This window comes from Homo sapiens, chromosome 6, assembly GCF_000001405.40.
Source record: "Homo sapiens chromosome 6, GRCh38.p14 Primary Assembly".
NCBI classification, from domain to species: Eukaryota; Metazoa; Chordata; class Mammalia; order Primates; family Hominidae; genus Homo; species Homo sapiens.
In genome coordinates this window covers 41,905,354-41,933,249 of record NC_000006.12, presented here as the reverse complement: position 1 = coordinate 41,933,249, position 27,896 = coordinate 41,905,354, and the positions used below count along the sequence as shown (strand labels likewise).

Sequence of the window (27,896 nt, the reverse complement as noted above, 5' to 3'; positions counted from 1 at the left end):
ACCTGCTCCTGGCTGCTGTAGCCTGTGATGGGGGAAGGCAGAGGATGTGTCCCCTGGGGGCTAACAAGGTGAGTGCAGCCTGGAGAAACAAGCTTGGAGATCAAGGGAGGTGGGTCCTATATAAACAGGACAAGAATGTCCTCCGTCCTCCAAATACTAACAGGAGTAATGCCTACCTCCATTGACTACACCAAACACAGAGGTTCAATAAATATCTGTCTTTGCCTTTATCCACAGTGACCTGACACAATAGCCATAGAAAAAGTACTCACACCAAGCCCCAGCTGGGGACTGGGAATGCTAGCATATGGTATCTCAAGTTGGCTCTCAGAACTAAACAGGGATAAGGGCCTAGAATGGAAGAGGGAACCAGCCAGACCCTCAGTCCTTCCTGTCCTGGACTGGGAGCCACAGATGTCCCTGTGATCTGTCACTGCCCTGATCTGGGTCTTCAGCCATTAAAGCTCAGTGTCATCTTCAGTCACCAACGGGGGTCTTGGTGTCCTTCCAAACCCCTTTGGCCAGGACAGCTGACTGTTTTCCTCACTCCACGGTGATGGGAACATCTTCCACATCGCGGGGGACTGCACTCTGAAGCTCACGCCTGATTTCGGGCGATAGCTGTGGATGGGGCTGCAGCCGGAGCAGTTCTAAGAGGGCCTCTTTCTGGTCTGTGGCCAAGTCGGCCTTGTAGCGCTGGACCAAAGTCAGGAGGCACTGGTGCCACAGCACAGGCAGTTCACGCTTCTCTGTCCGGAACCCCAGGAAGTGGAAGACTAGGGCATCCAGCACCCGGTAAGGCAGTGCATACTTCTTATCCAGCAGCAGTCGCAGGAAGATGCTGTTGGCACCGCTGTATTCCATCTCAGCAATTTTCAGCATGGCCGCACTAGTGGGAAAGGGAGGTGGGGTAGAGTAAGCAGGGAAAACATTGGAAGAAGGATCCTACTTCTCCCTCTATGCTTTCCCCTTTTTTTCTTCCCCTCTGCTGGCCCTTACACTATGGTATTCCCCAGGGACCTTCTCACCTACACAATCATATTATACTCCCTTGACCTCAGTCACCATCTCTACAGGGATCCACCCAAATCTCTATCTCTAGCATAGACTGCTTGTTTCAGTAACCAACTAGAGTATGGTCCAAACATCTCAACGTCTCCACCCTAACTACTTTCTTCCTGTGTTTCCTACTCATTTGTTTATCTATTTACTGAGAACTTACTTTATGCCAGGCACTCGGGCCCTGTTGTTGCACAACTTACATTGAGGGGGATAATGATACACCTACTCATTGGCTTAAACAAGCACAAACCCAAGGCTTTCCTTAGCTCCTTCTCCACTCTGCCCATTCCCAAGTCCTGGCAATTCCACTATCTGGATATCCACTGACCAGCCCCCTTCCACCCCCAGCAATACTACCTGGAGTGCAACACAGGGATGGAGCACTTGGTGATGATGCTACCCACAATGATGGCTTCCCGGAGGGTACAAGTGCCAGACTCGCACAGTGGAATCAGGATCCCTAGGGAGAGTCAAAGGGCAGCCACTGTGAGCCCAGGATGAGAAAAAGGAGTTACAGCAGGAAGCATTCCCACCCAGCCCAGGGACAGCTAGCAATTTCCCACACCAGGCCTGCTGTGTTCCCCATAGAAGCTCCAGCCCTTCCCTTTCTTCCGTGCCTCTGGGATCCCACCTTTGAACCAGGCTCCAGGTTTGAAAAGGGCCTTCTTGAGAGCCATGTAGAGATGGAAGTTGAGTCGTTTGTATTCAGCAACGTCATCTCGTACTCGAGGGAGCAGGACAAGGTTGTAGAAGCGCTGGGCCATGCGTTCCTTCAGGTTAGAGGCAAAAATCCTAGTGGGAGTTAAGCGGGGGAAGTTTCCAACTCACACGACAGTCTGGACCCGGCCCATTAAATATCACCATGGATAGTGCATACAAGAGGTTTTAAAGTAAAATATGGGACCTTTCTTTCAGTGGGGGATGTGTGGGAGCTGTGTGCATGCAACACCCATCAGCTTAGAGAGAGAATAGGAGGGGCAATGAGATATACCCAAATGAGGAGCACCGTTTGTCTGTGGGAGAGCCAGAGCTCGTGCAAACTGATGGCTACTCAGCATCAGTTGAGTAGCCCTGAGCATGCCTGGGCAGTCACAGACTTCTGAGGGTCCTGCTACAGGGTTGTATCCCAGTGGCTATAAAAGCCTCTCCCCTAGAAATTCATCACAGAGGGTTGTATCCCAGTAGCTATAAAAGCCTCTCCCCTAGAAATTCATCACGGAGGGTTCCTAACTGGCTAACTGGGTCTTGGCCCCAAAAAATGACACAGGAAAAGCTAGAAAAATGATGCTATAAAGTAGCACAGAGAGGGCCCTGGGGCAAAGCTCAAATGCCCTGGGGCCAGAGGCAAGGAAAGCCTGTCCGTCCCAAACTCAGCCTGCACCTATAAACCCAAGGCCCCCGAACCCCCAGCTACTCTACCTGGTGGCCTGGTACATGGCAGCTGCAGTCCAGGCCTCCGGCTCTGTGACGTAGAGGATTTGCTCCCAGTTGGAGAGTGCAGGGATGATCTTAAATGCCTTGGGCAGTTTTCCACTGCGGTACTTAGATAATACCTAGGGATGAGGGAGGTAAAACAATCATCGTCATCCACATATGGCAAGCTTGCTGTGGGCTAGGAACTTGTCTGGGTGCTTTTAATATATTAACTCATTGCATCCCCACAATAACCTATAAGGAGGTGCCATTATTATGCTCATTTTACAGATGACCAGTGAGAGTTCCAGTAACCGACCCAAGGATGCCAAGTCATTTACAGGCAGAGCAGGAATCTGAACCCACACACTCTGCCTCTTAGGTCTGTTTTCTACTCCCATGACTTCTTTAGTATGTGATGCAGGCAAAAGGCAAAAAAGCCTGTGGCAGGAGCCCACAGCCCCCAAAGGGGTCTTCCACCATGGCTCCCCTCTCAGCTCTTACCTCCCGGACCCCCCTGTACACTTCTAGGACCCGGGGGTCCAGCTGGGGCATAGGGAAGCCCGACACCTCTGACATGACTGTCTCAACCTCTGTCTGCTTCTCAGTCAGCTTCTCCATGATGATGTCAGCCAGGGTGCGCCTAAGAGGGGAAGTGCCAAGAGGAGGGGAGAGAGGGGGCAAGGAGCACTGTGGTCACTGTCCAGGAAGCTCCAGACTCCCCACAGTCCCCTGTGAGCACCGCCATACTGCGATCCTGCTGGGATATGCAGCTTAGAGTTCTCTCTCTGTGCCCATTCATCCACCACAGACAGAATCACTGCAGGGTGCAAAGGAACTGAAAGTCATTCCATTTAGGACAAAGCTAGCAGTTGTACGGAGGTTATTATGAACCTCAACTCTGAAGTCAGTCTGCCCAGGTTCAAATCCTGGCTCACCCACTCCCTGGTATGATCTTGGGCATGTTACTTTACCTCTCTATGCCTCTGTTTCCTCATTTGTAAAATAGGGATAATAACGGTACCCACCTTAAAAGATTAATGGAAGGATTAAATAAGTTAATGTCTGTTCATTACTTGGAATGGTCAGTACACAGTAAGCGTTATCTATGGAAATATTTCTAAGACTGATTATATTCTTTTCAGCCTCCTTAAACAGTATTGTTGGGTGTATCAAACATAATCTTATCTTAATGATTCAGAATTACCATCGCCTTGAGCTGTCATATAATACTAGCATCTTCAGAGGCTGCTGAAGTGTATTTATTTATTTTTTTTGAGAGAGAGTCTACCTCTGTTGCCCAGGTTGGCATGCAGTGGCACCATCATGGCTCACTGCAGCCTCTATCTCTCTGGCTCAAGCGATCTTCCCGCCTCAGTCTCTCGAGTAGCTGGGACCACAGGAACATAGTACAAGGCCCAGCTAGTTTTTTATTCTTCTGTAGAGATGGGGTCTCCCCATGTTGCCCAGGCTGGTCTCACACTCCTGGGCTCCTGCCTTGGCGTCCCAAAGTGCTAAGATTACAGGTCTGGGCCACCATGCCCAGACTGAAATGTATTTAAAGCTGCTTCTCAGTTGGGCGCAGTGGCTCACGCTTGTAATCCCAGTACTTTGGGAGGCTGAGGGAGGTGGATCACGTGAGGTCAGGAGTTTGAGACCAGCCTGGCCAACATGGTGAAACCCTGTCTCTACTAATAAAACAAAAATTAGCCAGGCGTGGTGGTACGTGCCTGTAATCCCAGCTACTCGAGAGGCTGAGGTTGCAGTGAGCTGAGATCATGCCACTGCCCTCCAGCGTGGGTGACAGAGTGAGATCCTGTCACAAAACAAAACAAAAAACAAACTGCTCCTCTTTTCTGAGGTCCTACTCAATGCCAGGCACTGAGTTTGGGACTTTTCAGTCCTAGAGTCAGCGCAACACTTATAGGACACGGAAACTTATGCAGACATGGGAACTGGGCCTCAGGTTAATAACTCACCCAAGGCCTCACAGCTGTCAGGTGGGGGTAAGAGTCAAACTCAGGTTTTTGGAAGTCTTGAGTTAAGGTGCTTTATAGTACCTTATAATGTGCCCCCAAACTAAATGGCCTCTGATTGTTGAATTCATGTGGATCTAGGCTTGCTTTCTGAAGATGCCAGCTATCATTTCTTACGACTGCCAGGAGTTCTGATTACTTCAAGGAGCTTGTCTACTCTATTTACTACAAGCTGGAAAAGCATTCTGCTAAATTGGTCAGCATTATCAGTGAAGTAGGAGTTATGAGGTGCTGAGTGAGAACCTGAGAGGCTCTCTGGGGGGACAAGCCCAAGTACATACTTTATGACATATATTTCAACTGTTAGGCATCAATCTGGGAGAGGGGCTCATTTTCATTTCTTCATTCTGCATTTTCAAATAAGCTGCCACAGAATTTATCAGCCTCCCTGTCCTTTTATAGTATGATTAGCAATGAGATGCATTAGCCCAAAACAGCCTAAAGTATCAGGGACACCATTATGTTAATATCACAGGGTCAGAATGAACTGGTTGAGGACCCTTATCCTAGACTCCACTCCCAAGGGCCAAAATTTATGGGCTCAGGAGTTTGACCACAGGCAGTCTAAATGCCTGCATGTTTTGGAGCTAGCATTTATTATAGATGGGAATAAATTAGTGGTCCTGACTAGGGGCAGTCTTGCCTCCCAGAGGACATTTGGCAATGTCTGATGTCATTTTTGGTTTTCACAACTGGGGGAAGGTTGCTACTGGAGTCTAGAAGTAGAGATCAGAGATATCTACTAAACCTCCTACACTGCACAGGACAGCCTCCACACACACACAAAATTACCCAGCCCAAAATGTCAATAATGCTGAGGTTGAAAAACCTTGGCTTAAATGAAGCTTAGGATATGAAGACTTGTCCAAGGAAGTTGAGCTTACCGCTAAAAAAACTAAGAATACCAAAACCAAATGCAATAGGATGGCTCTCCCCAGAGGTGTAAAAGGGGCCTGGAACTGTTTCCCTGGCAACTGGGCAGTTGTACAACAAATGGACATAAGGACACAATGTTTTTTGAGGCTGGGTCATTCCTACTCACAGTGGTCCTTTGAGGATGGGCCAGTTTTGTCAAGGTGGTCCCCTACAGCTAGCAACTCCAGGGCCCTTTCCAAAGGTAGGGAATCATAAGTCTGCCAGGGAACTTGTTTTCCTGTGGGAACTTTCTACAAGGACTCATTATCCCAAATCCCCAGGCCTACCTGGCAGGAGGGTTCTTGTTCATGAACATCTCTATGGCACGCTCATCCTCAGGGTCCACAACCACCTCTGCATGATGGCCCGCTGCTGTCATTGTGGCAGCCTTCTCCAGGGTGGGCCACTCCTCGTCCTCGTCATCTGATCCATCCTGAGGCATTCTTGGACCTAGAAGAGGGGAGACTAAATGGATGAGCACAGCAAAAGGTAGCTGAGGGATTTCGTCAGTTTAACTTTAGCCATTATGTAGTACAGGCCTCACATGTGGTTGTGATAGACGCAGGTATGTGCAGTGAAACAAATGCATTAGCTCCCTGTCCCCAGGGGCTTGCAATCATGCTTGAGAAACAAAATGTATATACAGGAAACAATAAGAAAAGCAATGGCCATAAATAATAGTTAACATACCATACTCAGTTATGTAGAAGGAACTTTTTTTTTTTTTTTTGAAATGGAGTCTTGCTCTGTCACCCACACTGGAGTGCAGTGGCTGGATCTCAGCTCACTGCAAGCTCCGCCTCCCGGGTTCATGCCATTCTCCTGCCTCAGCCTCCCAAGCAGCTGGGACTACAGGCATAAGCCACCAGCCCGGCTAATTTTTTGTATTTTTAGTAGAGTTGGGGTTTCACCATGTTGACCAGAATGGTCTCGATCTCTTGACCTCGTGATCCGCCCGCCTTGGCCTCCCAAAATGCTGGGATTACAGGGCGTGAGCCACTGTTCCCGGCCTGTAGAAGGAACTTCTAAACACTATACCCATGTTAACTGTTTAATCCTTATAAACCCAAGAAGTGGCCGGGCACGGTGGCTCACGCCTGTAATCCCAGCACTTTGGGAGGCCGAGGCGGGCAGATCACGAGGTCAAGAGATCGAAACCACCCTGGTCAACATGGTGAAACCCCATCTCTACTAAAAATACAAAAATTAGCTGGGCGTGGTGGTGGGCGCCTGTAGTCCCAGCTATTTGGAAGGCTGAGGCAGGAGAATCACTTGAACCCAGGAGGTGGAGGTTGCAGTGAGCCAAGGTCACGCCACTGCACTCCAGCCTGGTGACAAAGCGAGACTCCGTCTCAAAAAATATATATAAAATTAAAAAAAATAAAATAAACCTTCTTATGGAACAATGGCAAATAAATAAATAAATAAGAATAAACCCAAGAAGTGGATACTATTACTATACCCAGTTTCAAATGAGGACATTGAAGCACTGAGAAGTTGGGTAATTTGCCCAAGACAGGTAGTCTGGGTCTAGACTGCATTCTTCACCACTATTCTACACATATTCGGGTTTGATTATATGCCACAATGAGTAGTAGAGACAACATATGCACTTAAAGGATGAGTGGTGAGGACAGTTAGGAGCTGGATGGGCAGTTTGGGAGCAGAAGGAGTGTGTTCCAGACGCAGAGAAAATAAGGCTTGGATATAAGAGTCTCCTAGGCAATAGCAAGAAATAATGCTAGGTACGTGGGAAAGGTGAAGCCAGACTGGAGGGCCTTTAAATTCAGGCAGTAGAGTTCAGATTTCAATCCACCAGTCCATTTAAATACATGAAGTTGGCTGGGCGTGGTGGCTCACGCCTGTAATCCCACCATTTTGGGAGACCAAGGCGGGTGGATCATGAGATTGGGAGTTCGAGACCAGCCTGACTAACAGGGAGAAGCCCCGTCTCTACTAAAAATACAAAATTAGCCGGGCTTGGTGGCGCATGCCTATAATCCCAGCTACTTGGGAAGGCTGAGGCATGAGAATCGCTTGAACCCGGGAGGTGGAGGTTGAGGTGAGGTGAGCCGAGATCGCGCCACTGCACTCCAGCCTGGGCAACAACAGCAAAACTCTGTCTCAAAAAAATAAATAAATAAATAAATAAAAATAAATAGGCCGGGCGCGGTGGCTCACGCCTGTAATCCCAGCACTTAGAGAGGCCAAGGCGGGCGGATCACGAGGTCAGGAGACCGAGACCATCCTGGCTAACACGGTGAAACCCCGTCTCTACTAAAAATACAAAAAATTAGCCGGGTGTGGTGGCGGGCGCCTGTAGTCCCAGCTACTCGGGAGGCTGAGGCAGGAGAATGGTGTGAACCCGGGAGGCGGAGCTTGCAGTGAGCCAAGATCGTGCCACTGCACTCCAGCCTGGGCGACAGAGCGAGACTCCGTCTTAAAAAAAAAAAAAAAAATGAAGTTAGTCCATTTAAATAACTTCTGTTTTTGGAAGGCTACATGTCTGGGCATCTGGAAAGGGGTCTAATAATCCAAGTGGGGAGCTATAATGCTACGTATCAATAGGTCATTAACAACAAAGGCAGTGTGTGATAAACACTAAATAAGGGGGAACAGACATTTTGTCTCCACGTTCCAACGGTCCCCCAAATTTGTACTTTGTAGGTGGTTCTCCTTAGTGCCAGACCCTAACTCCAGGTGTCTCCTGTAAGCTGCTCTTGGATGACTCACAGGCACCTCAAATCTCACCCGTTATCAACTAAACTAATTTTCTTTCCCTCCTAGGTCTACACTGCTAACCATCCACAGCTCAGTAAACGGCACCATCGTCCACCCAATGCTAAGCCTGGGAGGTACTCTTGCCTCATCCCCTGCCCTCACCCTCAACACCCAATCAATTACTAAATCATATTCAATTTTACCTCATAGACTGTCTCTCACATGCTTCACAGCCCCATCTAAGCCTAGATCAGCATCATCTCTTGCCTGGATTTATTCAACAGTCGCCCACTGGTCTCTATGTTTCTGACCTTGCTTCCCTCCAACTCATTTTCCACTCTGCAGACGGTCACCTTCCAGAAACACATATTTGATTTGATCAGCCCTGTCCTTAAAATTCTCCAGTAGCTTCCCATTCTTCCCACTGCTGTTAGGATGGTTTTAAAATCTTTTGTAGGCTTGGCTCCCACCTACCTGACCATCATTCATTACCGATTAACCCAGTCATTCAGCAAACACCAAGCACCTACTATATGTGAGGCACTGTTCGGGGTGCTGGCAATATATCCACGAACAACCGAAACCAAAAGACTTTGTTCTATACAGCTTACATTCTAATTGGAGGAGATAGTCTACGACCATACCACCCTGAACGCACCCAATCCTGTCTAAATGGAAGAGACAGACATAAATAAACATATAAATATATTGGGTTAAAAGATAAGTACTATGGGCTGGGTGCAGTGGCTCATGCCTGTAATCCCAGCACTTCGGGAGGCCGAGGCGGGTGGATCACCTGAGGTCAGGAGTTTGAGACCAGGCTGGCCAACATAGCGAAATCCCCAACTCTACTAAAAATACAAAAAAAAAAAAAATTAGCTGGGTGTGGTGGCGGGCGCCTGTAATCCCAGCTACTTGGGAGGCTGAGGCAGGAGAATCGCTTGAACCCGGGAGGTGGAGGTTGCAGTGAGCCGAGATCGTGGTATTGCACTCAGCCTGGGTGACGGAGCGAGACTCTGTCTCAAAAAAAAAAAAAAGATAAGTACTATGAAAAAAAGATAGGGCAGAAATGCTGGGAGTATGGAGATGGAGTAGAGTGCTGCAATCTTAAATGGAGTGGATAGGCCTCTCTGAGAAAGTAACCCTACAAGTGTATGAGAACAAACTATCCCAGAGAGAAGGAACAACCAGGCCAAACCCCCTAATTTCCCACGTTTAAGGCACAATGAAGCCTAAATAGGTGGAGTGGAATGGGCAAAGAGGAAAGCAGTAGAAGAGGTCAGACTGGCAAAGGAGGCAGATCATATAGTGCATTGTAGACCATTGTAATCCCCCACCTGTGAGTACTTTGTAGAGAGTATGAGACACGGCAGGGTGCAGTAGCTCACACCTGTAATCCCAGCACTTTGGGAGGCCAAGGCAGGGAGGGTCGTTTGAGCCCAGGAGTTTGAGACCAAACTGGGCACCACTGTGAGACCTCATCTCTACAAATAATTAAATAATTAGCGGCCAGGTGCGGTGGCTCACGCCTGTAATCCCAGCATTTTGGGAGGCAGAGGTGGACGATGACCTGAAGTCAGGAGTTCAAGACCAGTCTGGCCAACATGGTGAAACCCCATCTCTACTGAAAATACAAAAATTAACTGGATGTGATGGCTCACGCCTGTAATCTCAGCTACTCAGAAGGCTGAGGCAGAAGAATTGCTTGGACCTAGGTGGCAGAGGTTGCAGTGAGCCAAGATTGCGCCACTGCACTACAGCCTGGGCGACAGGCTCAAAAAAAAAAAAAAAGAATTAGTTGGACATGGTGGCACACACCTGTGGTCCCAGCTACGTGGGAGGCTGAGGTGGAAAGACGACTGGAGCCCAGGAGATTGAGGCTGCAGTTAGCTATGATTGTGCCACCGCACTCTATCCTGGGTGACAGAGAGAGAGAGAGACTCTGTCTCAAAAAAAAAAGAAAAAAAGAAAAAACGGAGAATATGAGATACTAACGAGGAGGCTACTGTGATAATCCAGGTGAGAGACTGTGGTGGCTACGACAGGATGGTGTTCCAAAGCGGTGAAAAGTGGTCTCATTTTGGATACACTTTGAAGGCAAAGTCATCAGAATTTCCTTACAGATCAGATGTGGGGAGGGAGAGACAGAGAGAGGAGATGGTGGGGGCAGGGAGAGAGAGGAGTCTAAAGTTTATCTCGAGCAAATGAAAGAATATGCTACTAACTGAGACAGGGAAGGCAATGGTGAGAGAAGCAGGTTTGGAGGGAAGGTCAGGATTTCTGTTTTGTACATGTTAAATTTGAGCTGTCTGTTAGATTTCAAATTGGAGATGCCAAATAGGCAGTTGAATATAAGAATCTGGATTTCATGGAAGAGATCAGGGCTAGACTATAAAGTTAGGAGTAGTCACTCAAGGATGGTATTTAAACCATGAAACTTGCCAGCACCAGAGAATATTTGAAGAGGTCAGAGGACTGAGGAGAAGAGGTTGCAATAAGAGTCAGCCAAGGATACTGAGAAGTGAGGTGGCAGTAAAACAGGAGTGTTGATGTCTTAGAACCCAAGTAAGGATACTGTGGCCAGAAGGCCACTATTCAATTGTGTCAAATATTGCTTTAGATGAGATCTGAGAAACGGATGAAGCACCTCAGAGGTCAACACTCCCTCCCTAGTGAGAAAACATCAGACGTCTTTCAATTCATCTCTCTCGCTCTTTGGCTGCTAAACAATGTGTTTTCTGCTCATAACACTTCCCATTCGTTTTTCAGTTCTCAGCTTAAAGGTCCTGCTGCAATCGGAGAAGCTTCTCAAGACCAATGCTATTGTTACCAGGGAAACGATACTTTATCATGGAAATATATTATTCTAAGAGTCTACTTAATTGCCTCTCTGCTGGGCTTGACTGTAAGGTCCTTAAGTTAGACGTGCCTGTGTTGTTTACTTCTGTACCCAAACATTCGATAGAATTCCGAGCATAGCGCAAAGCTCGTAGTGGGTATCCCATAAATATTTACAAAACCAATGGATACATGCTAGGAGCACTTAGTGGCGCGATCGATTACTGTTGGCCTAACTTCGGGGGTGTCTAGAAGGGAGTGCCTAAAACTAGGAGTGGACGCGGAGGGCTCTAGACAGGGTTCAGTCTCCTTTGCAAGTGTAATACGGACCCCTTTGTTGACTCGAAGCAATTCCCCTGCCAGACACTTTTTAGCTGCCCACCCCGCCCCACTACTGGCCACTGTCTTCCTCGGACCTCATCCCAGACACTCACCCAGCCGCGTGGTGCGTTCCCGCGGCGCCGCGGGCTTGTCCCCAGTCCCATGCTCGGCCTCGAGTTCCTCCTGTTGCTGCCGTGCTTGCTGCAAAATCCGTCGGCTCAGCCGGGGCCCCACATACTCTTCCTCCGCTTCTCCTGTCCCGCGACCCCGCCGCTTCTCCCGGACCCCCGCCCGCACCGCATTCCCAGCCAGGATCTGATCGGCCAGGGGCGCATGTTTTTCCTGACCCCCCACCCCACGGGCCGCCTTGAATTTGGGCATTTTTCTCGAAAAAGTTGCCGGGAAGGATCGCACGTGGGGACTGAAGAAAGGCCAGGATGCGCTTGCGCGGTGGACTCCCAGCGCCCAAGAGGCCGCCCGGCGATCACAGCGCCCCCTAGCATTCGGAGGCCAGAAGCGCCATCAGCGCCGCCCCTCCCACTAAAAGAGCTCCCGGGTTCCGGAGCTGGACTCCCGAATATATTCACTGCCTTTAACGTTAGCTTCTCTCAATAGTGCAGTCTTTGAGTGTCGCTCTCCTAGCTTCATGGATGTAGGCCTAGAGTGCTCAGCCAAACGGGAATGTCTGGATTTAGAAACCTCGGGGCGGGAATCCGCAGATGATGTCAGTGGAGGCGTCACCGAGGGGTGCCGAGACACGCCCCATTCCTTGGGGAAGGCGTGGACCCGGCGCTCTGTTTTTACGTATTTCCGGAGTCCCTTCTGAGACAGAAGGTTGTGTTGGGGAACTGAAGGAGTTTCTGTGGGCGGACAGGGAACCCTGCGTTTCTACTGTGTGATTCTGCCACCTTCCTGGCCCGACGCCATGGGAGTGACTTGGTAGGACTGCAGGGGGTTTTGTGGGGCGGGGCTTGGAGTTGTGAAAGGCCGGAAAGAGGACCTTGACCATGGTCCGCCGTCCTCTGGGAGCTGAGGGAGATGTCCTCGGGTTGTGTAGATGAGAGGATGCCGTCCGGGCTGCGGGTTCCCCGGGCTTGTTTCCTCAGAGATGCGCCCCTTCCTCTTGGAAGGCGGGAAAGCAAAGGTTTTTTTTTTGTTTTGTTTTGTTTTTTTTAAGACGGGGTCTCGCTCTGTCGCCAGACTGGAGTGCAGTGGAGCGATCTTGGCTCACTGCAACACTCCGCCTCTTGGGTTCAAGCGATTCTCCTGTAGTCCCGAGTAGCTGGGACTACAGGCGCCCGCCACCACGCCCGGTTACTTTTTGTATTTTTAGTAGAAATGGGGTTTCACCATATTGGCCACGCTGGTGTCGACAAAGCAAACTTTTTATCCCAGGAACCTATCAATGGTTGTATACCTCATTCTCTTCTGGATACATCTTCCTTCCCGTGAGGCCATAGTACTGCCTGCAGTGGGACCTCAGGGTTGGAAATAGGGTCTTTGGACTATGACCCACCTGCAGACAGGGTTGGAGGGAGTGGGCCATAAGCAATCAGGAGATAGTATTTTTTAAGATTTTCGCCTGCTCTTCCCTCAGCCATCAAATACAGTTAGACCCGCTTGTGTCTGTTTCTAATTTGCTCATTTTAAGATCTTGGGTCTAGAGGAAAAAAGGGTATTGATAATAAGGAGATCATGGTTCCAGGCACTTTATCTCTTTAGGACCCGTTTCCCACTATGTTTAATTCCATGGTTGGTCTAGTTTCAATGGAGTTTTTATCTTTCATATGTTTTAAGTCTCAGTTGAAAGAAGATGAGGTGGCAGGGAAAGGTATGGGTCCAGTGCTCGTGGAGGCGTTAGTTGTAAGGTGCCAGGTCCCAGAACATTTTTTTCTTATCTCAGTAGATGTGAGCATTTTTCCCGTGGGAGAAATCCGGAGGCCAGGATATTTGAAGCCAGTGGATATAGGCTTCTCATACAAAAGCATGTGTAGGGGAAATACTTTTCCTCCTGGTAGCCCAGGTTCTTGCAGGTTTCTCAGTGATTGCACTCTTGCTTCCTACGATTGACACGATCCTCCTGTGTTCCTTAATGGAAGCAAGATATGTGAGGAATGGAAATGGAAAGGATGCAGCGTAGAACCCTGGAACCCTTGCTCTTTCTTTTTTTTAAAGAAATAGAAATGGGGTCTTGCTGTTTTGTACATGCAGGTCTTGAATTCCTGAACTCAAGCGAGCCTCCTGCTTTGGTCTCCCAAAGTATTGGCATTATAGACATGAGCCACCGTGCCCAGCCACCCCTGCTCTTTAAATGGAGAAGGCAGCTCCAGGGAAAGGGCTCTCTGTTGGCCCCCTTATCAACGTTTTCAGAATCCTAGGACTTCTGTCACTTGTAGCGTCAGTTTAGGGATTCTTTTGTATTTCAAAATAAGGCACATTAGCAACATCGTTTATCAGTGTTTTTTTCTGATAGAGTAGTGACAATTTTTAGCAACAGAAGGACTCTACCTTAATAGATTCATTTAGTTGATCATAAAGCAATGTCATCTATGACTGTTTTCTTGATTTCTATATAGCTAAGTACTGCTTGTACTATTGTTTATTAATTTTTTAATCGATTTTCCTTAATGTTTTAACAGGCACTACATCCTTATACAGGCAGTCTAGTTAGTGGTTAAGAGCATGGACATCAAGCCAGGTTGCTGGGCTTTGAGTCTTGAGTGTACCACCCATTAACTGTGTGACCTAGTGCAAGTTATTTAACCTCTTTGTGCTGTACTTAAGTTTCCTCTTTTTTTTTTTTTTTTTTTTTTTTGAGGCAGAGTCTCACTCTGTTGCCCAGGCTGGAGTGCAGTGGCGTGATCTCGGCTCACTGCAAGCTCCGCCTCCCGGGTTCATGCCATTCTCCTGCCTCAGCCTCCCGAGTAGCTGGGACTACAGGCGCCCACCACCATGCCTGGCTAATTTTTTTGTATTTTTTTTTTTTTTTTGAGACGGAGTCTCGCTCTGTCGCCCAGGCCGGACTGCGGACTGCAGTGGCGCAATCTCGGCTCACTGCAAGCTCCGCTTCCCGGGTTCACGCCATTCTCCTGCCTCAGCCTCCCGAGTAGCTGGGACTACAGGCGCCCGCCACCGCGCCCGGCTAATTTTTTGTATTTTTAGTAGAGACGGGGTTTCACCTTGTTAGCCAGGATGGTCTCGATCTCCTGACCTCATGATCCACCCGCCTCGGCCTCCCAAAGTGCTGGGATTACAGGCGTGAGCCACCGCGCCCGGCCATTTTTTTGTATTTTTGGTAGAGACGGGGTTTCACCGTGTTAGCCAGGATGGTCTTGATCTCCTGACCTCGTGATCTGCCCGCCTTGGCCTCCCAAAGTGCTGGGATTACAGGCGTGAGCCACCGTGCCTGGCCAAGTTTCGTCTTTTTTTTTTTCTTTTTGAGATGGAGTTTCGCTCTTGTTGTCCAGGCTGGAGGGCAGTGGTGCGATCTTGGCTCACTGCAACCTCCGCCTCCTGGTTTCAAGTGATTCTCCTGCCTCAGCCTCCCATGTAGCTGGGATTACAGGCGCACACCACCATGCCTGGCTAAGTTTTGTATTTTTGGTAGAGACAGGGTTTCACCATGTTGGCTAGGCTGGTCTCGAACTCCTGACCTCAAGTGATCCGCCCACCTCGGCCTCCCAAAGTGCTGGGATTACAGGCGTGAGCCACCATGCCCGGCAGTTTCCTCATTTGTAACAAGTTGATAAATAACACACCTTCATAGGACTATCGTGAGGATTTGGAGAGTTAATTCATCTAAAGGCCTTAGGATGCAGTCTGGCACGTTGTTGGTTGGCAGTTGGTTACCTACCACTCCTAAAGTGGAAGCCACCATAAGAGGTTCACTCACCATAGGAGGAAACCTTAGAAATAACGTTTTTTTTTTGTTTTGTTCCATTCTTTTGATTCAATTTTCGTGAATACTGTTGCCTCTCATTCCCAAAGATTATAAACTTGAAGACTGCTTTTCTTTTTTTGTTCCTAGGGCTGTTGAATAGCACTTTCTGTGATGATGGAAATGTTCTCTAACAACAGTGTCCAATACACTAGTCCCAGCCACCTGTGGCTCTGGGCTACTGTGCTGAACAGCTCAAGTTCACAGAGTTGGTAAAAACATGTTAACCCAAACGGAGACTTTTCCCTTGATGTAGTCAGAACTGAAAGAGTTGCAAAAGGAATCCCTTTTTCATTATATGACTCAGCATTATTGAATTCTCAGTCCGTGTGTCATCTAGAATCTTTGGCATGCCACACTTGAGAACGCCCTGTGATAGGAAGTTCATTGCCCTGGTGCGAGAATCCTGAGAACTGTGCTCCAGTTCTTAGAGGGGCTCTCAGGGACTGTGGTCCTCTATTCCTTGTCTTTACAATGGGGGACTGGTCCAAGTGTAATGAGTTATCTTAATTGATTGTTCACATTCAGTTACAGATTGGACTCCTTGTTCTACTCTTCCCCACTCTAACTACTGCACTTGACTGGTCTTAAATTTTTTTTTTTTTTTAAGATGGCGTCTCGCCCTGTCGCCCAGGCTGGAGTGCAAGGGCGCAGTCTCGGCTTACTGCAGTCTCGGCCTCCCGGGTTCAAATGATTCTCCTGCCTGAGCCTCCCACGTAGTTGGGATTACAGGCGTCCGCTACCACGCCCAGCTAATTTTTGTATTTTTAGTAGAGACGGGGTTTCACCATGTTGGCCAGGCTTGTCTTGAACTCCTGACTTCGTGATCCACCCGCCTTGACCTCCCAAAGTGCTGGTATTACAGGCATGAGCCACCACGCCTGGCCAAAAAAATTTTTTTTAATTAAAAATAATAATAAAGTTGCAGGGATTGGGAGACGGTCAGAGTAGGTAATTTCCAAGATAACTTTTGGCCCTGATGAGCTGTGATGCTGTGGGCGAGTGAATGGCTCAGTGAGCACACGTGTGTCTCTGGATAACTGACGATTTGGTGCTCTCCTTTCCAGTGTGTCCCAGATGCCTGTGGCCGAGGGCAAGAGTGTTCAGCAAACCGTAGAGCTCCTTACCCGGAAATTGGAGATGCTTGGGGCAGAGAAGCAAGGAACATTTTGTGTGGACTGTGAGACTTACCATACGGCCGCCTCTACCCTTGGCAGCCAAGGTCAGTGAGATGGGTCTGTAGGATGGCTGGAACCAGGCTTGGAGTTAAGAGACATTTGAGTTAATTGAAGTCTTTCTGCTTTTCTGCTAAAGGTGGTATTCTTAAACATGTGGCGAGATGTGTTTTTGACGTCATTAATTCTTGGTTCTTTATCTCTTAGAATAGGGCCTTTGAAAGCTTTATTTTATTTTATTTTATTTTTTTGAGATGGAGCTTTGCTCTTGTTGCCCAGGCTGGAGTGCAATGGTGCGATCTCAGCTCACTGCAACCTCCACCTCCCAGGTTCAAGTGATTCTCCTGCCTCAGCCTTCCCAGGTAGCTGGGATTATAGGTATGCACCACCAAGCCCGGCTAATTTTGTATTTTTGGTAGATATGGGGTTTCTCTGTGTGGGTCAGGCTGATCTCGAACTCCCGACCTCAGGTGATCTGCCCACCTCGGCCTCCCAAAGTGCTGGGATTACAGGCGTGAGCCACTGTGCCCGGCCACTTTATTTTATTTTATTTTATTTTATTTTATTTTATTTATTTTTTTGAGATAGGGTTTTGCTCAGTCTCCCAGGCTGGAGTGCAGTGGCATGATCACAGCTCACTGACTGCAGCCTCGACCCTTGGGCTCAAGTGATCCTTCCACCTTGGCCTCCTGAGTAGCTGAGACCACAGGCATGAGCCACCACGCCTGGCTAATATTTTAAATTTTTTGTAGAGACAGGGTCTCCCTATGTTGACCAGGCTGGTTTTGAATTCCTGGCCTCAAGGGATTATCTGGCCTCAGCTTCCCAAAGTACTGGGATTATAGGTATGAGCCACCACTCCTGGCTAAAGCTTTATTGAGGTATAGTTGATACACAAGTAGTTGTACACATCTAATGCATACATCTTAATGAGTTTGGATATATGCATACACCTATGATACTATCACCAAAACCAAGGTACTAAACATATCCATTACAACCCAAAATTTCTTTGTATGTGAGTATTTATGTGTGTGTGTGTTTTGAGACGGAGTCTGGCTCTGTCGCCCAGGCTGGAGTGCAGTGGCGCAATCTCGGCTCACTGCAAGCTCCGCCTCCAGGGTTCACGCCATTTTCCTGCCTCAGCCTCCCAAGTAGCTGGGACTACAGGCACCTGCCACTACGCTGGGCTAATTTTTTGTATTTTTAGTAGAGACGGGGTTTCACCGTGTTAGCCAGGATGGTCTTGATCTCCTGACCTTGTGATCCACCCGCCTCGGCCTCCCGAAGTGCTGGGATTATAGGCGTGAGCCACCGCGCCCAGCGTGTGTGTTTTTAAGAGATAGAGTCTTGCTCTGTTGACCAGGCTGAAGTGCTTTGGTGTCTCATAGCTCACTGCAGCCTCAAATTCCTGGGGTCAGTTGATCCTCCCACCTTAGCCTCCTGAGTAGCTGAAACTACAGGCATGTGCCACCATGCCTGGCTGATTTTTTTACTTTTGGGTGTGGTCATGGGAGTGTCTTACTATGCTGCCCAAATTGATCTCAAACTCCTAGCCACAAGCCATCCTCCCACCTCAGCCTCTCAAGTAGCTGGTGTCAAACTCCTGAGCTCAAGGGATCTGCCAACATAGGCCTCCCAAAGTGCTGAGATGACAGGCATGAGCCACCATGCCTGGCCCTTGTGTTCTTTGAGTGCTTTTTGTTTTGTGCAGTTTCTAAAAGCAGTGTTTCTCAGGGTTAATCACTGACTAACCATGTCAGAATCACCTGGGATACTTGTTAGAGTTCCAGATTTCCTGGCCCTGTTTACTGATTGACTGCTGCTGTAGGCCACATAATCTACATTTAACAATCCAGACAATCCTTATGCACTCTGAAATTTGAGAAAGACTTGTTTTAGGCCCAGAAGTCTTTGTTTATGATTCTTTTAGAGCTTTAGGGTTTCTAGAAGTTTGTGTTTAGAGTTCCCGTTTTCTTACACCTAACCATTGGCCTTGACCTCCTCATTAGCATAAATCAATTGTTCTTTTTAGCGTTTTGAGTGATGAGATGGGGTGTGGATGATGGGGGATGATGGCTGGGAGGGAGAGAGGACTTTTTTTTTTTTTCTTTTTAGAGTGAGAGTCTCACTTCGTTGCCCGGCTGTACAGTAGCATGATCACAGCTCACTGCAAGCTCTAACTCCTGGGCTTAGGCAATGAGAGAGACTCTTTGGATATGAGTTAGGGAACTTGTTTGTCTTAGTCTTGGCTCTGCAGTAACTTAACCTTGAACAGTTCCATGGCACAGTGTTTATCACTGGGGAACCAGAGTCCTGAGTCCTGGCTTTGCCACATTCTAACTGTGTACCTGTAGGTAACTCCCACAACCTATCTGTTACTGTTTCCATGCCACTCATGTACCTGTTTCCCTTAGATCCATTTCCTGCACTTTCCCTGTAAGCTGTATTTTCCAGGCTCTCTACTAGTTAGCTTTGGTTATTGAGAGGCACCAGAGAAGATTAGAGGATGGGAGAAAGGAAGCCCACAGTGTTCCTCTCCCTCTGCTCTGGGCAGTGTCTCTAGCCATGGCTGTGTCTTCACCTCCTTGGTTCTAGCTTCTGCTAGGCAGCCCTCATTCCTGCCTCCGACAACAGCACATATTTTCTTTTTCCTCTAGCCCTAGGGATGGTAGTAGTTTCCTGTGTTGCTAATCTTTGGGTTGTGCCACCATCCTGTTTGGTTTTGCCTTTCTTCCAACCCGTGTATTTGTTCCCTGTATACATTTCTTGTACCAAAACTATCTGACATGGGCTCTTTTTGGACTCTTCCCAGTACAGTTCTCTCATCTATAAAATGAAGATAATCATAGTACTTCTCTCCTCATGTTGTGCTAAGTAAGTTAATACATACAAAGCATTTAGAACTGAGATTGTCATGTAATTTTTTTTTTGAGACGGAGTTTTGTTCTTGTTGCCCAGGCTGGAGTGCAATGGCACAGTCTCGTCTCACTGCAACCTCCACCTCCCAAGTTCAAGCAATTCTCCTGCCTCAGCCTCCCGAGTAGCTGGGACTACAGGTGCGCTCCACCACGCCTGGCTCATTTTTGTATTTTTAGTAGAGATGGGGTTTCACCATGTTGGCCAGGCTGGTCTTGAACTCCTGACCTTGTGATCCGCCCACCTTGGCCTCCCAAAGTGCTAGGATTACAGGCATGAGCCACTGCACCCAGCCTGTCATGTAATATTTAAAGTAATATTTAGTAGCTAAGAGTTGTACTGAGCTCTTTTATCATTGTTGATAAAATTGAAGTTACCATTTGTGTTGCCTTCAATATGAAGGAAGTAAGAATCAAGAGATAATTACAAAAGCATTTGGGTAATAAAACATTTGGATATAGATATGAGATGGCATATGACTTCTAGTGAAACTACCTGGTGTGGGCTGAGCAGGCCCTCACTTTCAAGAAGCCACAGTCTAGTTGGGGAGACAGCACGCCTTCATGGCAGGCAGGAAAGAGCAATAAACTTGGGGTGAGCATGCCTGGATTGGAGCTTCAGTTTTGCTGGTTACTGGCTCTGTGCCTTTAGATCAGTGATTCTCACACTTGACCAGCATTAGCATCATCTGAAAGGCTTGTTACCACACAGATTGCTAGACCCCACGCCAAAGTTTCTGACTTAGTAGTTTGGAGGAGAGTAGACAATAATTTGCATTTCCCCCCACCTTTTTTTTTTTTTTTTTGAGACAGGGTCTCTCTGTCACCCAGGCTGGAGTGCAATGGCATGATCATAGCTCACTATTGCCTCGACCTGCCGGGCTCAAGTGATCCTCCAGCCCCAGCATCCTAAATAGCTGGGGCCACAGGTGCGTGCCACTATACCTGGCTAACTTTTTGATTTTTTTTGTAGAGTCAAGGTCTCCCTATGTTGCCCAGGCTGGTCTCAAACTCCTGGGCTCAAGCGATCTTCCCCGCCTTGGCCTCCTGAAGTGTTGAGATTACAGGCATGAGCGCCCTGGCTGTAATTTGCATTTCTAATAAGTTCCCAGGTGGTTCTGCTACTGCTGCTGCTCTGGGATCCAATTGGCTTCATTTTCCTCATCTTTAGAAAGGGGATAGTAAACCTGGTTCTGCTTGCTTCACAAGGTGGTACAGACATGAAAGGATTTTGCTGTGATAGAAAATACGATTGTCGTCTGGGCGCGGTGGCTCATGCCTGGAATCCCAGCATTTTGGGAGGCCGAGGCGGGCAGATCACCTGAGGTCAGGAGCTTGAGACCAGCCTGGTCAACATGGGGAAACCCTGTCTCTACTAAAAATACAAATATTAGCCAGGCATGGTGGCAGGCACCTGTAATCCCAGCTACTCAGGAGTCTGAGGCAGGAGAATCGTTTGAACTTGGGAGGCAGAGGCTGCAGTGAGCCCAGATCATGCCATTGCACTCCAGCCTGGACAACAGAGCTAGACTCCATCTCCAAAAAAAAAAAAAAAAAAAAAGTACTATGGTCAGCTGAGTGCAGTGGCTCATACCTGTGAATCCCAGCACTTTGGGAGGTAGAGGTGAGAGGATTGCTTGAGCCTAGGAGTTTGAGACCAGCCTAGGCAAGATGGTAAGACCTCATCTTTACAAAAAAAAAAAAAAAAAAAAAAGGTGGGCATGGTGGTCCCAGCTACATGGGACACTGAGGCAGAAGGATTGCTTGGGCTCAGGAGGTTGAGGCTTCAGTGAGCTGTGTTCATGCCACTACACTCCAGCCTAGGTGACAGAGCAACACCGTGTCTCAAAAAAAAAAAAAGAAGAAAAGGAAAATGTTATTGTCCATAACAACTAGAAGTGCCTTCTTCATTAAGCGCACACACACACCCCTTAGTTGACTTTTAAGATATTTCCAAGGCAGTAACACTTGTAGACTCATATAGTATGAATAAAGTATGCAATTACAGTGAGTAGACAGAACAGAATGACGAGGTCGGCTTTGGATGGATTTTTTTCTTCAGAGTCGAGAAGTTTGGAACTGGATTTAGAATGAGGTGACAGGTGTGAATTGTCAGCAAGCAGTCAGGAGGAGGGATGTGGCCTGGAGGATCTGTGCAGAGCCTGCTGTGTTCACGCACAGCAGCCTGTATAGGGAAGCCATATGACCTCTGCTCTCGCCGCCCTCGCACCCTTTTCAGTTGCACACTCTTACCCCCGTCTAGAATGTCTTCTTTCCTTTGTGTGGCTGGATCCTACCTTCTCTTCATATTGCAGTTCAAATCCTACTTTTTTTTCCTGCTGACTTGTTCATTTTAATCTTTTCCTATCCTGAAGTCTTTCCTTTTTCCGAAAGACTTGTGGTCTTTCCTCGGTAATAACTTGTTTTATTTTGTGGTCTTTCAAAAAGTTTTTAGCCTATCTCAGCTGGGCGTGGCGGCTCATGCCTGGAATCCCAGCCCTTTCGGAGGCTGAGGCGGGCAGATCACCTGAGGTCAGGAGTTCAAGACCAGCCTGGCCAACATGGTGAAACCCCGTCTCTACTAAAAATACAAAAATTAGCCAGGTGTGGTGGCTCACACCTATAATCCCAGCTACTCAGGAGGCTGAGGCAAGAGAATCACTTGAACCTAAGAGGTGGAGGTTGCAGTGAGCCAAGATTGCACCATTGCACTACAGCCTGGGCGACAGAGTGAGACTCTGTCTCAAAAAAAAAAAAAAGTTTTTAGCCTATCTCTCTCATGAGATTGTCAGCTTTTTTTTTTTTTTGAGATGGAGTCTCGCTGTCACCCAGGCTGGAGTGCAGTGGCACGATCTCGGCTCACTGCAACCTCTGCCTCTTGGGTTCAAGCGCTTCTCCTGCCTCAGCCTCCCGAGTAGCTGGGATTACAGGCGCATGCCACCATGCCTGGCTAATTTCTGTGTTTTTAGTAGACACGAGGTTTTACCATGTTGGCCAGGCTGGTCTCGAACTCCTGACCTCAAGTGATCCACCCACCTTGGCCTCCCAAAGTGCTGGGATTACAGGTGTGAGCCACTGTGCCCAGCCTGATTGTCAGCTTCTTGAAGTCAGGGGCTAAGTCCTCTGCTTGTACATCTCTGAAGCCCTAAGAAAAGTGTTGGGAATGGCTTATATATGTAATAAGCATGTGGGATTGTGGCAGTCTATCCATTAATTCTTGTAGCGTATGAAAGAGGAATCTTGCTTTCCAGTTTTTACCTTTTTTTTTCTTTTTTTTTTTTGGAGATAGAGTATTGCTCTGTTGCCCAGACTGGAGTGCAGTGACACGCTCTCAACTCACTGCAACCTCTGCCTCCTGGGTTCAGGTGATTCTCGTGCCTCAGCCTCCCCAGTAGCTGGGATTACAGGCGTGCACCGCCACACCCAGATAATTTTTGTATTTTTAGTAGAGACATGTTTTCACCATGTTGATCAGGCCGGTCTGGAACTCCTGACCTCAAGTGATCCACCCGCCTCAGCCTCCCAAAGTGTTGGGATTACGGGTGGGAGCCACTGTGCCCAGCCCTGCCTTCTTTTGTTTTCTACTTAACTAAATGTGTATAGCTTTCCATTTTTATTGCAAATAGCCTATGGAAATAAATGAGAAAACTCATATTTTAGAGACTGGAAGGGGTGAGCTGGGGCTTGAAAGTTGATCTTCTGATCCAGATCCTGAGGTCTCTCTGCTGTAGTGTGCTGCTTGCTTCCCAAGTTGGCTAGACTTCTAAAAATTCTCCAACGGTTTGCCATTGGTTTCAGGATACAGTCTAAACTTCTTGAGGCATGGTAGATAAGACCTATCACAGCTTGGATCCCATCTACCTTTCCCTGCTTATGCTCAGACACTCCCCTTTGCTGCTTCCATAGGACCATTTACTAGATCTCAAAGAGGGAGGAGGCTAAGCTGAGGAAGAGTGTGCAGAAGAAGGGAGCAGCTACTTCCTTTGGCATGCCCAAATGCTGTTACTTTCATTTTACTTATGTAATATATGATAATATACAAAAGATTATACGTAAAGTCTGTGGGAGTTAGACTTTACATGTAGACCATCTGTGAGCCCACCACTCAACTTAAGAATTAAAACATGATCAACACTATTAAAGTTCCCTGTGTGCCCCTCACTGTTTTCTGTAGAGCAGGGTGGGTTTTACCACATGCTGCCTCTCCTGCTATTTCCCCCTACCTTTCTAGAAAAGGCTGTCAGTGAGAGGATTCCCCTCACCCCCAACCAAGAACTGCTGAGGTAGTGCCAGATTGCTGTCTGGCCTCATTCCGGGGGGAGTCATTTGACTCTACTCTGGGGTTTGCCAGTGAAAGTCTTGATGATGAATAGGATCTCTGTCCCTTGCAGGTCAGACCGGGAAGCTGATGTATGTGATGCACAACTCAGAGTACCCATTGAGCTGTTTCGCCCTCTTTGAGAATGGCCCTTGCCTTATTGCTGACACCAACTTTGATGTGCTTATGGTGAAGCTCAAGGGCTTTTTCCAGAGTGCTAAGGCCAGCAAGATTGAGACCCGGGGCACCAGGTACCAGTACTGTGACTTCCTGGTGAAGGTGGGCACGGTCACAATGGGGCCCAGTGCCCGGGGCATCTCTGTGGAGGTAAGACCTTGGTGAAAATAGGAGCAGGATGTTCTGAGGGGGCTGCTTAGCAAAGGGCTCTGAAGATTTTCCAGTTCTTCTCTTTTTTTTTTTTTGAGACAGAGTCTTGTTCTGTCACCCAGGCTGGAATGCAATGGCACAATCTTGGCACACTGTAGCCTCGACCTCCAGGGCTCAAGTGATCCTTCCGCCTCAGTCTCCCAAGTACCTGGGACTACACCCACCGAATTAAATTTTTTTTTTTTTTTAGTAGAAATGAGGTCTTACTATGTTGCCCAGGCTGATCTCAGACTCCTGGGCTCAATTGATCCTCCCATCTCAGCCCCCCAAAGTGCTGGGGTTACAGGTATGAGCCAACACACCTGGCCTCCAGTCCTCAATTTAAACAGATATTTATGCCTACCTGATCCCTGACTCCAAGGCATCTATGCTTCCTCTTCGTGAATCTTTTATCCTTTCTTTAATTATTCAGAGACTCTCTAACACAGCTGGCAAGTAGGAAGCGGGAAGCTGGGTTCAAAGCAAGCAGAAAGCTTCATTAGGAAGGGTGGCTTGCTGGAGAAGGGAAAAGATAGTCAAGGAAGGCAGGTGAGTTATGATATGGAGGGACAGTCACCCATGACAAGAAGTTCTGGAGCAGACCAGGACAACTCTTAGAACAATTTTCTGGCGGTGGGCCCTAAATCACATATGCCCATATACCTTTCCTTAGTATGCTTTAAGATAGGTTGGGAAGCAAAAATGTGCTTTTCCTTTTGACATGCTGTCTGCTTTCTTTCATGGTAGAAAGAGTGTTTGTGTGTGAGATCACTTCATCTGTGACACAGAGAGTGTGTGTGTGTCTGTGTATACATACACATATATAGTGACAAGGAGTGAGAGTGGCAGTGTAGCAGTGGCTGGCTTCTTTGGGACCAGGGAAAGTTCACAACCTATAATGTGCCCAGCACTGAGATAAGAAAACAAGTAAGCTTGCAGGTCTACCCTTTGAAAATTTGTGATTTATTTATTAAGAGTGAGGCTGAAACACACAAACTCTTTTTGAAGTTAGTCTGAAAATGCTATAAAAGAGGCAGTTGGCTCTGGGAATTCAGGCCAGTGTGAACACTGCTGACTTTGGTTGTGATGCTTCCTGAGGATCAACATTTATGTAGGGATTTAAAATGTAGAGACATGGGGATAGATAAGTCTAGGAAGAATCCCAGTTGGAGAAAAGGGCATTAGTGGTAGTTTCTGCTCAGCAACCTCTAGGACCAAGACTTCTAACCCTTTCGGCTTGTGATAGACCTTGGATTTGCTGAGACCCACTGAGGACCCGCTGTTTATCCTCCACATTTCTAATCTTGTAGTAGAAACACACTCCACCTGTTTCTTTACTTATTTCTCCTTAGGGTTGCCAGTAATTTTGCCCTGCCATCTCTCCAGTAAAAAATTAAGAGAGCAGAAGGAGAAAACCTAAGATGTATATTTTTTGGCCCATGACACACTATTTGGGAAATTCTTTCTTAGGGTCAGAACCCAGGTTGGTTCTACTTAGGGAGTAAAATTTGGTCTTGAAAAAAACTCATGAGCATATGTGTCCACTCTACTCTCTACTTACCACCCCCACACACATTTTCCTTCTCTTTCTCTTTGTTGTGTCTCTTAGAATTTTCTTGAGCTCTCCTTGAATCTTTACCCAGCATAGCAGGGACAACACAGTCCTGAGATCATCAAAAGGGGCCCAGATCTGCTTCTGGGTCCTCTGGGAGGGCTGCGGGTTGGCACAGCTCCAGGATGAGAAGGTCAAAGATGCCTAAAGATGCTGGGTATTGAGCCCAGTGTTTAGGTTGAATGTTTCCTGTGGACCAATACTGTGCTAGGAGGTGTGTGTCTTTAGCTCGGGGTTGGGGAAGATGGGAGCAGGAGGCAGGAGGTACAAGAGAAGCAGACCTTGTCTTAGCCTTCATTCACCCTCATTCTCTGTGCTTTTGGTTCCCAGGTGGAGTATGGCCCCTGTGTGGTAGCTAGTGACTGCTGGAGTCTGCTGCTCGAGTTCCTACAGAGTTTTCTAGGCAGCCACACACCAGGGGCTCCCGCAGTGTTTGGGAACAGACATGATGCGGTCTACGGCCCAGCAGATACCATGGTCCAGTACATGGAACTCTTCAACAAGATCCGCAAGCAGCAGCAGGTGCCGGTGGCTGGGATTCGTTAGTGATGAGCAGCTGCCAGCTGAGCTCTGTCACCAGGGGTACTCCACAGGAGGAGCAGGTGCTGACTTTCAGGTCCCTGGACCCCAGAAACCCAGGGTAGACATGGACTCTACTCTCCTTCTCTGGTTCTCAGCTGTGGCTTTTGTTCTGGGGCTGAGTCCCCTCCCCAACCCCCTGACTCTCACACATAGCCCCCCATCAGCTGTTTTACTCCGTGCCTTACTGGATTTGGCCTGTCCTCAAGAATGGTAATTATGAAGAGTGGAGAAGTTTGGACCTTGCCTCCTTTAGGGGAAAGGTAGGACAGGAATGTCCCTGCCTGGTACTGGTGGGGGAAATAGTCCGTATCCCCAACTATTAAGGATTTGTCCCAGGCCAATGGTGAACATGCTGCATTTTATGTTTGGATTGTGCTGTAATAAGAGCCTCTTCCTTCCCTCAGAGGATGTGGCTGGGCTTCTATCCTAGAGATGGAGTAGAAGGCACAACTGGTTTGATAGTTACTATTTTCTGACCTGTTTGCTGAAGTGATTTGCGAATTGACTTTCCTAGGGTGTTGCCTGAGTCCTTTGAAATCTCCTTCTGACATCTTTCCCTTCTGTTGTGAAATATGTTAAGCCACAGGCCAAACTGCTATAAGATCGAAGTTTGTTTTTTTCTCACCTAATAATAGAGAGGTAATCAGATGGTCTAGGGCAGATTTAACTCTACAAGGTTATCAGGAACTTTGTTTCCTTCTGTCTTATTCAGCCATTCCCAGTATGTTTTCTTACCCATAAGATCAAAGCAGACTCATCAGCTCCATATCTGCATTCCACTGGGGAAAGAGAGAGAGAAAAGAGCAGATTTTAAAAAAAAGATATGACTGAGCATTGCTCAGATCACTGTGGCCACACTTTGCTGAAAGAGATGCTGGGACATAGAACCTCTTATCTGGGCAGTCATGTGCTGAGTTAAAACTCAGGGATTCTGTGACTACAAGATGAAAGACAATTTGGTTGCTGAGATGCAGTTAATGGCTTCTGTTACATGGAGCTCAATGGACGTGCCCAGGAATGCTTTTGGCTGTTATTTTGCAGTTAATACCTCCTGTAACTAAAGCATTTGTTTATGAGTTGACTTGAGAGAAGGGCTGATCTCAGAGCCGCTTTGAGCTAAGTTGGATTAGTCACACTAGGAAGTTAATTCCACACCTTTCGTCTAAGTCTCAGTATTGAGGCCTCTCCAGTTCTCATGCACCCTGATCTTAGGGTTAGAATACTTGACCCTGATACCTGCACCATGCTTCATGGTTCCTGAGCTCTTTCTCCTGTTTCATTTGAGCCTCCAAACTACATATTTGGTCATATTGCCTGCCTACCCCATGCCTGCTGCAGAAATATTCATCCAGGTTAACCTTGATATACACAGAGATGGTCTTGGAGAATTGTGAATGTATGTACTGTATTGTCATCAAGGATACTGTCCCTTATTTGAAGGCATCTAAAGAGAAACTGTTTTCAGATCCAAGTGCTCAGATCTAAAGCCTCTGCAACAAGTCAGGTGGTGGTCATGTTTCCCTTCTAGTTTTGGCTGACAGGAAGCTCAGTTCAGTACCATAACTACAGAACCTGTCATCTGTATTTTTTGTTCTCACCCCGTTTTTGTTATTTTGTTTCTGGTTTTTTATATTGAGGTATGTTTTAGATATAGTTTACAAAAATAAAACGCACAGATCTTA

The 27,896-nt window shown here is 47.6% G+C and overlaps 2 protein-coding genes across 7 annotated transcripts, besides 3 other annotated features; one reads left to right on the top strand and one right to left on the bottom strand.

Annotated features, from left to right (window-relative positions):
• On the bottom strand, window positions 204–24,491 carry BYSL (bystin like). Of its 2 annotated transcripts, none has more exons than XM_047419281.1 (7): window positions 24,385–24,491; window positions 5,714–5,876; window positions 2,980–3,118; window positions 2,482–2,615; window positions 1,694–1,854; window positions 1,420–1,522; window positions 204–889 (listed from the first exon to the last, which is right to left on the bottom strand). In XM_047419281.1, exons 1-7 carry the CDS (start codon window positions 24,404–24,406, stop codon window positions 544–546), a joined length of 1,068 nt encoding a protein of 355 aa, XP_047275237.1. In that variant the 5' UTR covers window positions 24,407–24,491; the 3' UTR covers window positions 204–543. The 2 variants fall into 2 exon arrangements, with proteins under 2 accessions (XP_047275237.1, NP_004044.3); NM_004053.4 differs by lacking the exon at window positions 24,385–24,491 and adding an exon at window positions 11,420–11,751.
• Window positions 7,490–7,990: an enhancer, noted in NCBI's record as "H3K4me1 hESC enhancer chr6:41892998-41893498 (GRCh37/hg19 assembly coordinates)". NCBI's record gives its function as "activates a minimal SCP1, AML or CMV promoter by ChIP-STARR-seq in naive and primed H9 embryonic stem cells {active_cell/tissue: H9 hESC(naive and primed)}" and the evidence as "EXISTENCE:reporter gene assay evidence [ECO:0000049][PMID:30033119]".
• Window positions 12,047–12,146: an enhancer, noted in NCBI's record as "active region_24530". NCBI's record gives its function as "activates an Ori minimal core promoter by ATAC-STARR-seq in GM12878 lymphoblastoid cells {active_cell/tissue: GM12878}" and the evidence as "EXISTENCE:reporter gene assay evidence [ECO:0000049][PMID:35858748]".
• Window positions 12,111–27,896, top strand: MED20 (mediator complex subunit 20). 5 transcript variants are annotated; one of them, NM_001305456.2, is made up of 5 exons: window positions 12,307–12,450; window positions 16,311–16,465; window positions 20,150–20,265; window positions 23,728–23,981; window positions 25,963–27,896. In NM_001305456.2, the coding sequence occupies exons 4-5, from the start codon at window positions 23,745–23,747 to the stop codon at window positions 26,176–26,178; spliced, it is 453 nt and encodes a 150-aa protein (NP_001292385.1). In that variant the 5' UTR covers window positions 12,307–12,450; window positions 16,311–16,465; window positions 20,150–20,265; window positions 23,728–23,744; the 3' UTR covers window positions 26,179–27,896. The 5 variants fall into 5 exon arrangements, 4 of the variants coding, with proteins under 4 accessions (NP_001292386.1, NP_004266.2, NP_001292384.1 ...); NM_001305457.2 differs by lacking the exons at window positions 12,307–12,450; window positions 20,150–20,265 and adding an exon at window positions 12,111–12,245 and having other exon boundaries at window positions 23,728–23,905; NM_004275.5 differs by lacking the exons at window positions 12,307–12,450; window positions 20,150–20,265 and adding an exon at window positions 12,111–12,245.
• Window positions 15,274–16,473: an enhancer, noted in NCBI's record as "MED14-independent group 3 enhancer chr6:41884515-41885714 (GRCh37/hg19 assembly coordinates)". NCBI's record gives its function as "activates an origin of replication core promoter dependent on BRD2, BRD4, P300/CBP and CDK7 cofactors, and independent of MED14, by STARR-seq in HCT116 cells {active_cell/tissue: HCT116}" and the evidence as "EXISTENCE:reporter gene assay evidence [ECO:0000049][PMID:35650434]".

What these genes read in the sequence shown, in the direction of transcription:
- BYSL (NM_004053.4), bottom strand. Translation starts at nt 11,687, where the DNA reads ATGCCCAAATTCAAGGCGGCCCGTGGGGTGGGGGGTCAGGAAAAACAT. An exon ending in AACAAGAACCCTCCTGCCAG is followed by an intron (nt 3,119 to 5,713) that starts GTAGGCCTGGGG and finishes TTCCCCTCTTAG; the next exon opens with GCGCACCCTGGCTGACATCA. An exon ending in ATCCCTGTGTTGCACTCCAG is followed by an intron (nt 890 to 1,419) that starts GTAGTATTGCTG and finishes CTTTCCCACTAG; the next exon opens with TGCGGCCATGCTGAAAATTG.
- MED20 (NM_004275.5), top strand. An exon ending in CTCTACCCTTGGCAGCCAAG is followed by an intron (nt 16,466 to 23,727) that starts GTCAGTGAGATG and finishes TGTCCCTTGCAG; the next exon opens with GTCAGACCGGGAAGCTGATG. An exon ending in CCCGGGGCATCTCTGTGGAG is followed by an intron (nt 23,982 to 25,962) that starts GTAAGACCTTGG and finishes TTTGGTTCCCAG; the next exon opens with GTGGAGTATGGCCCCTGTGT.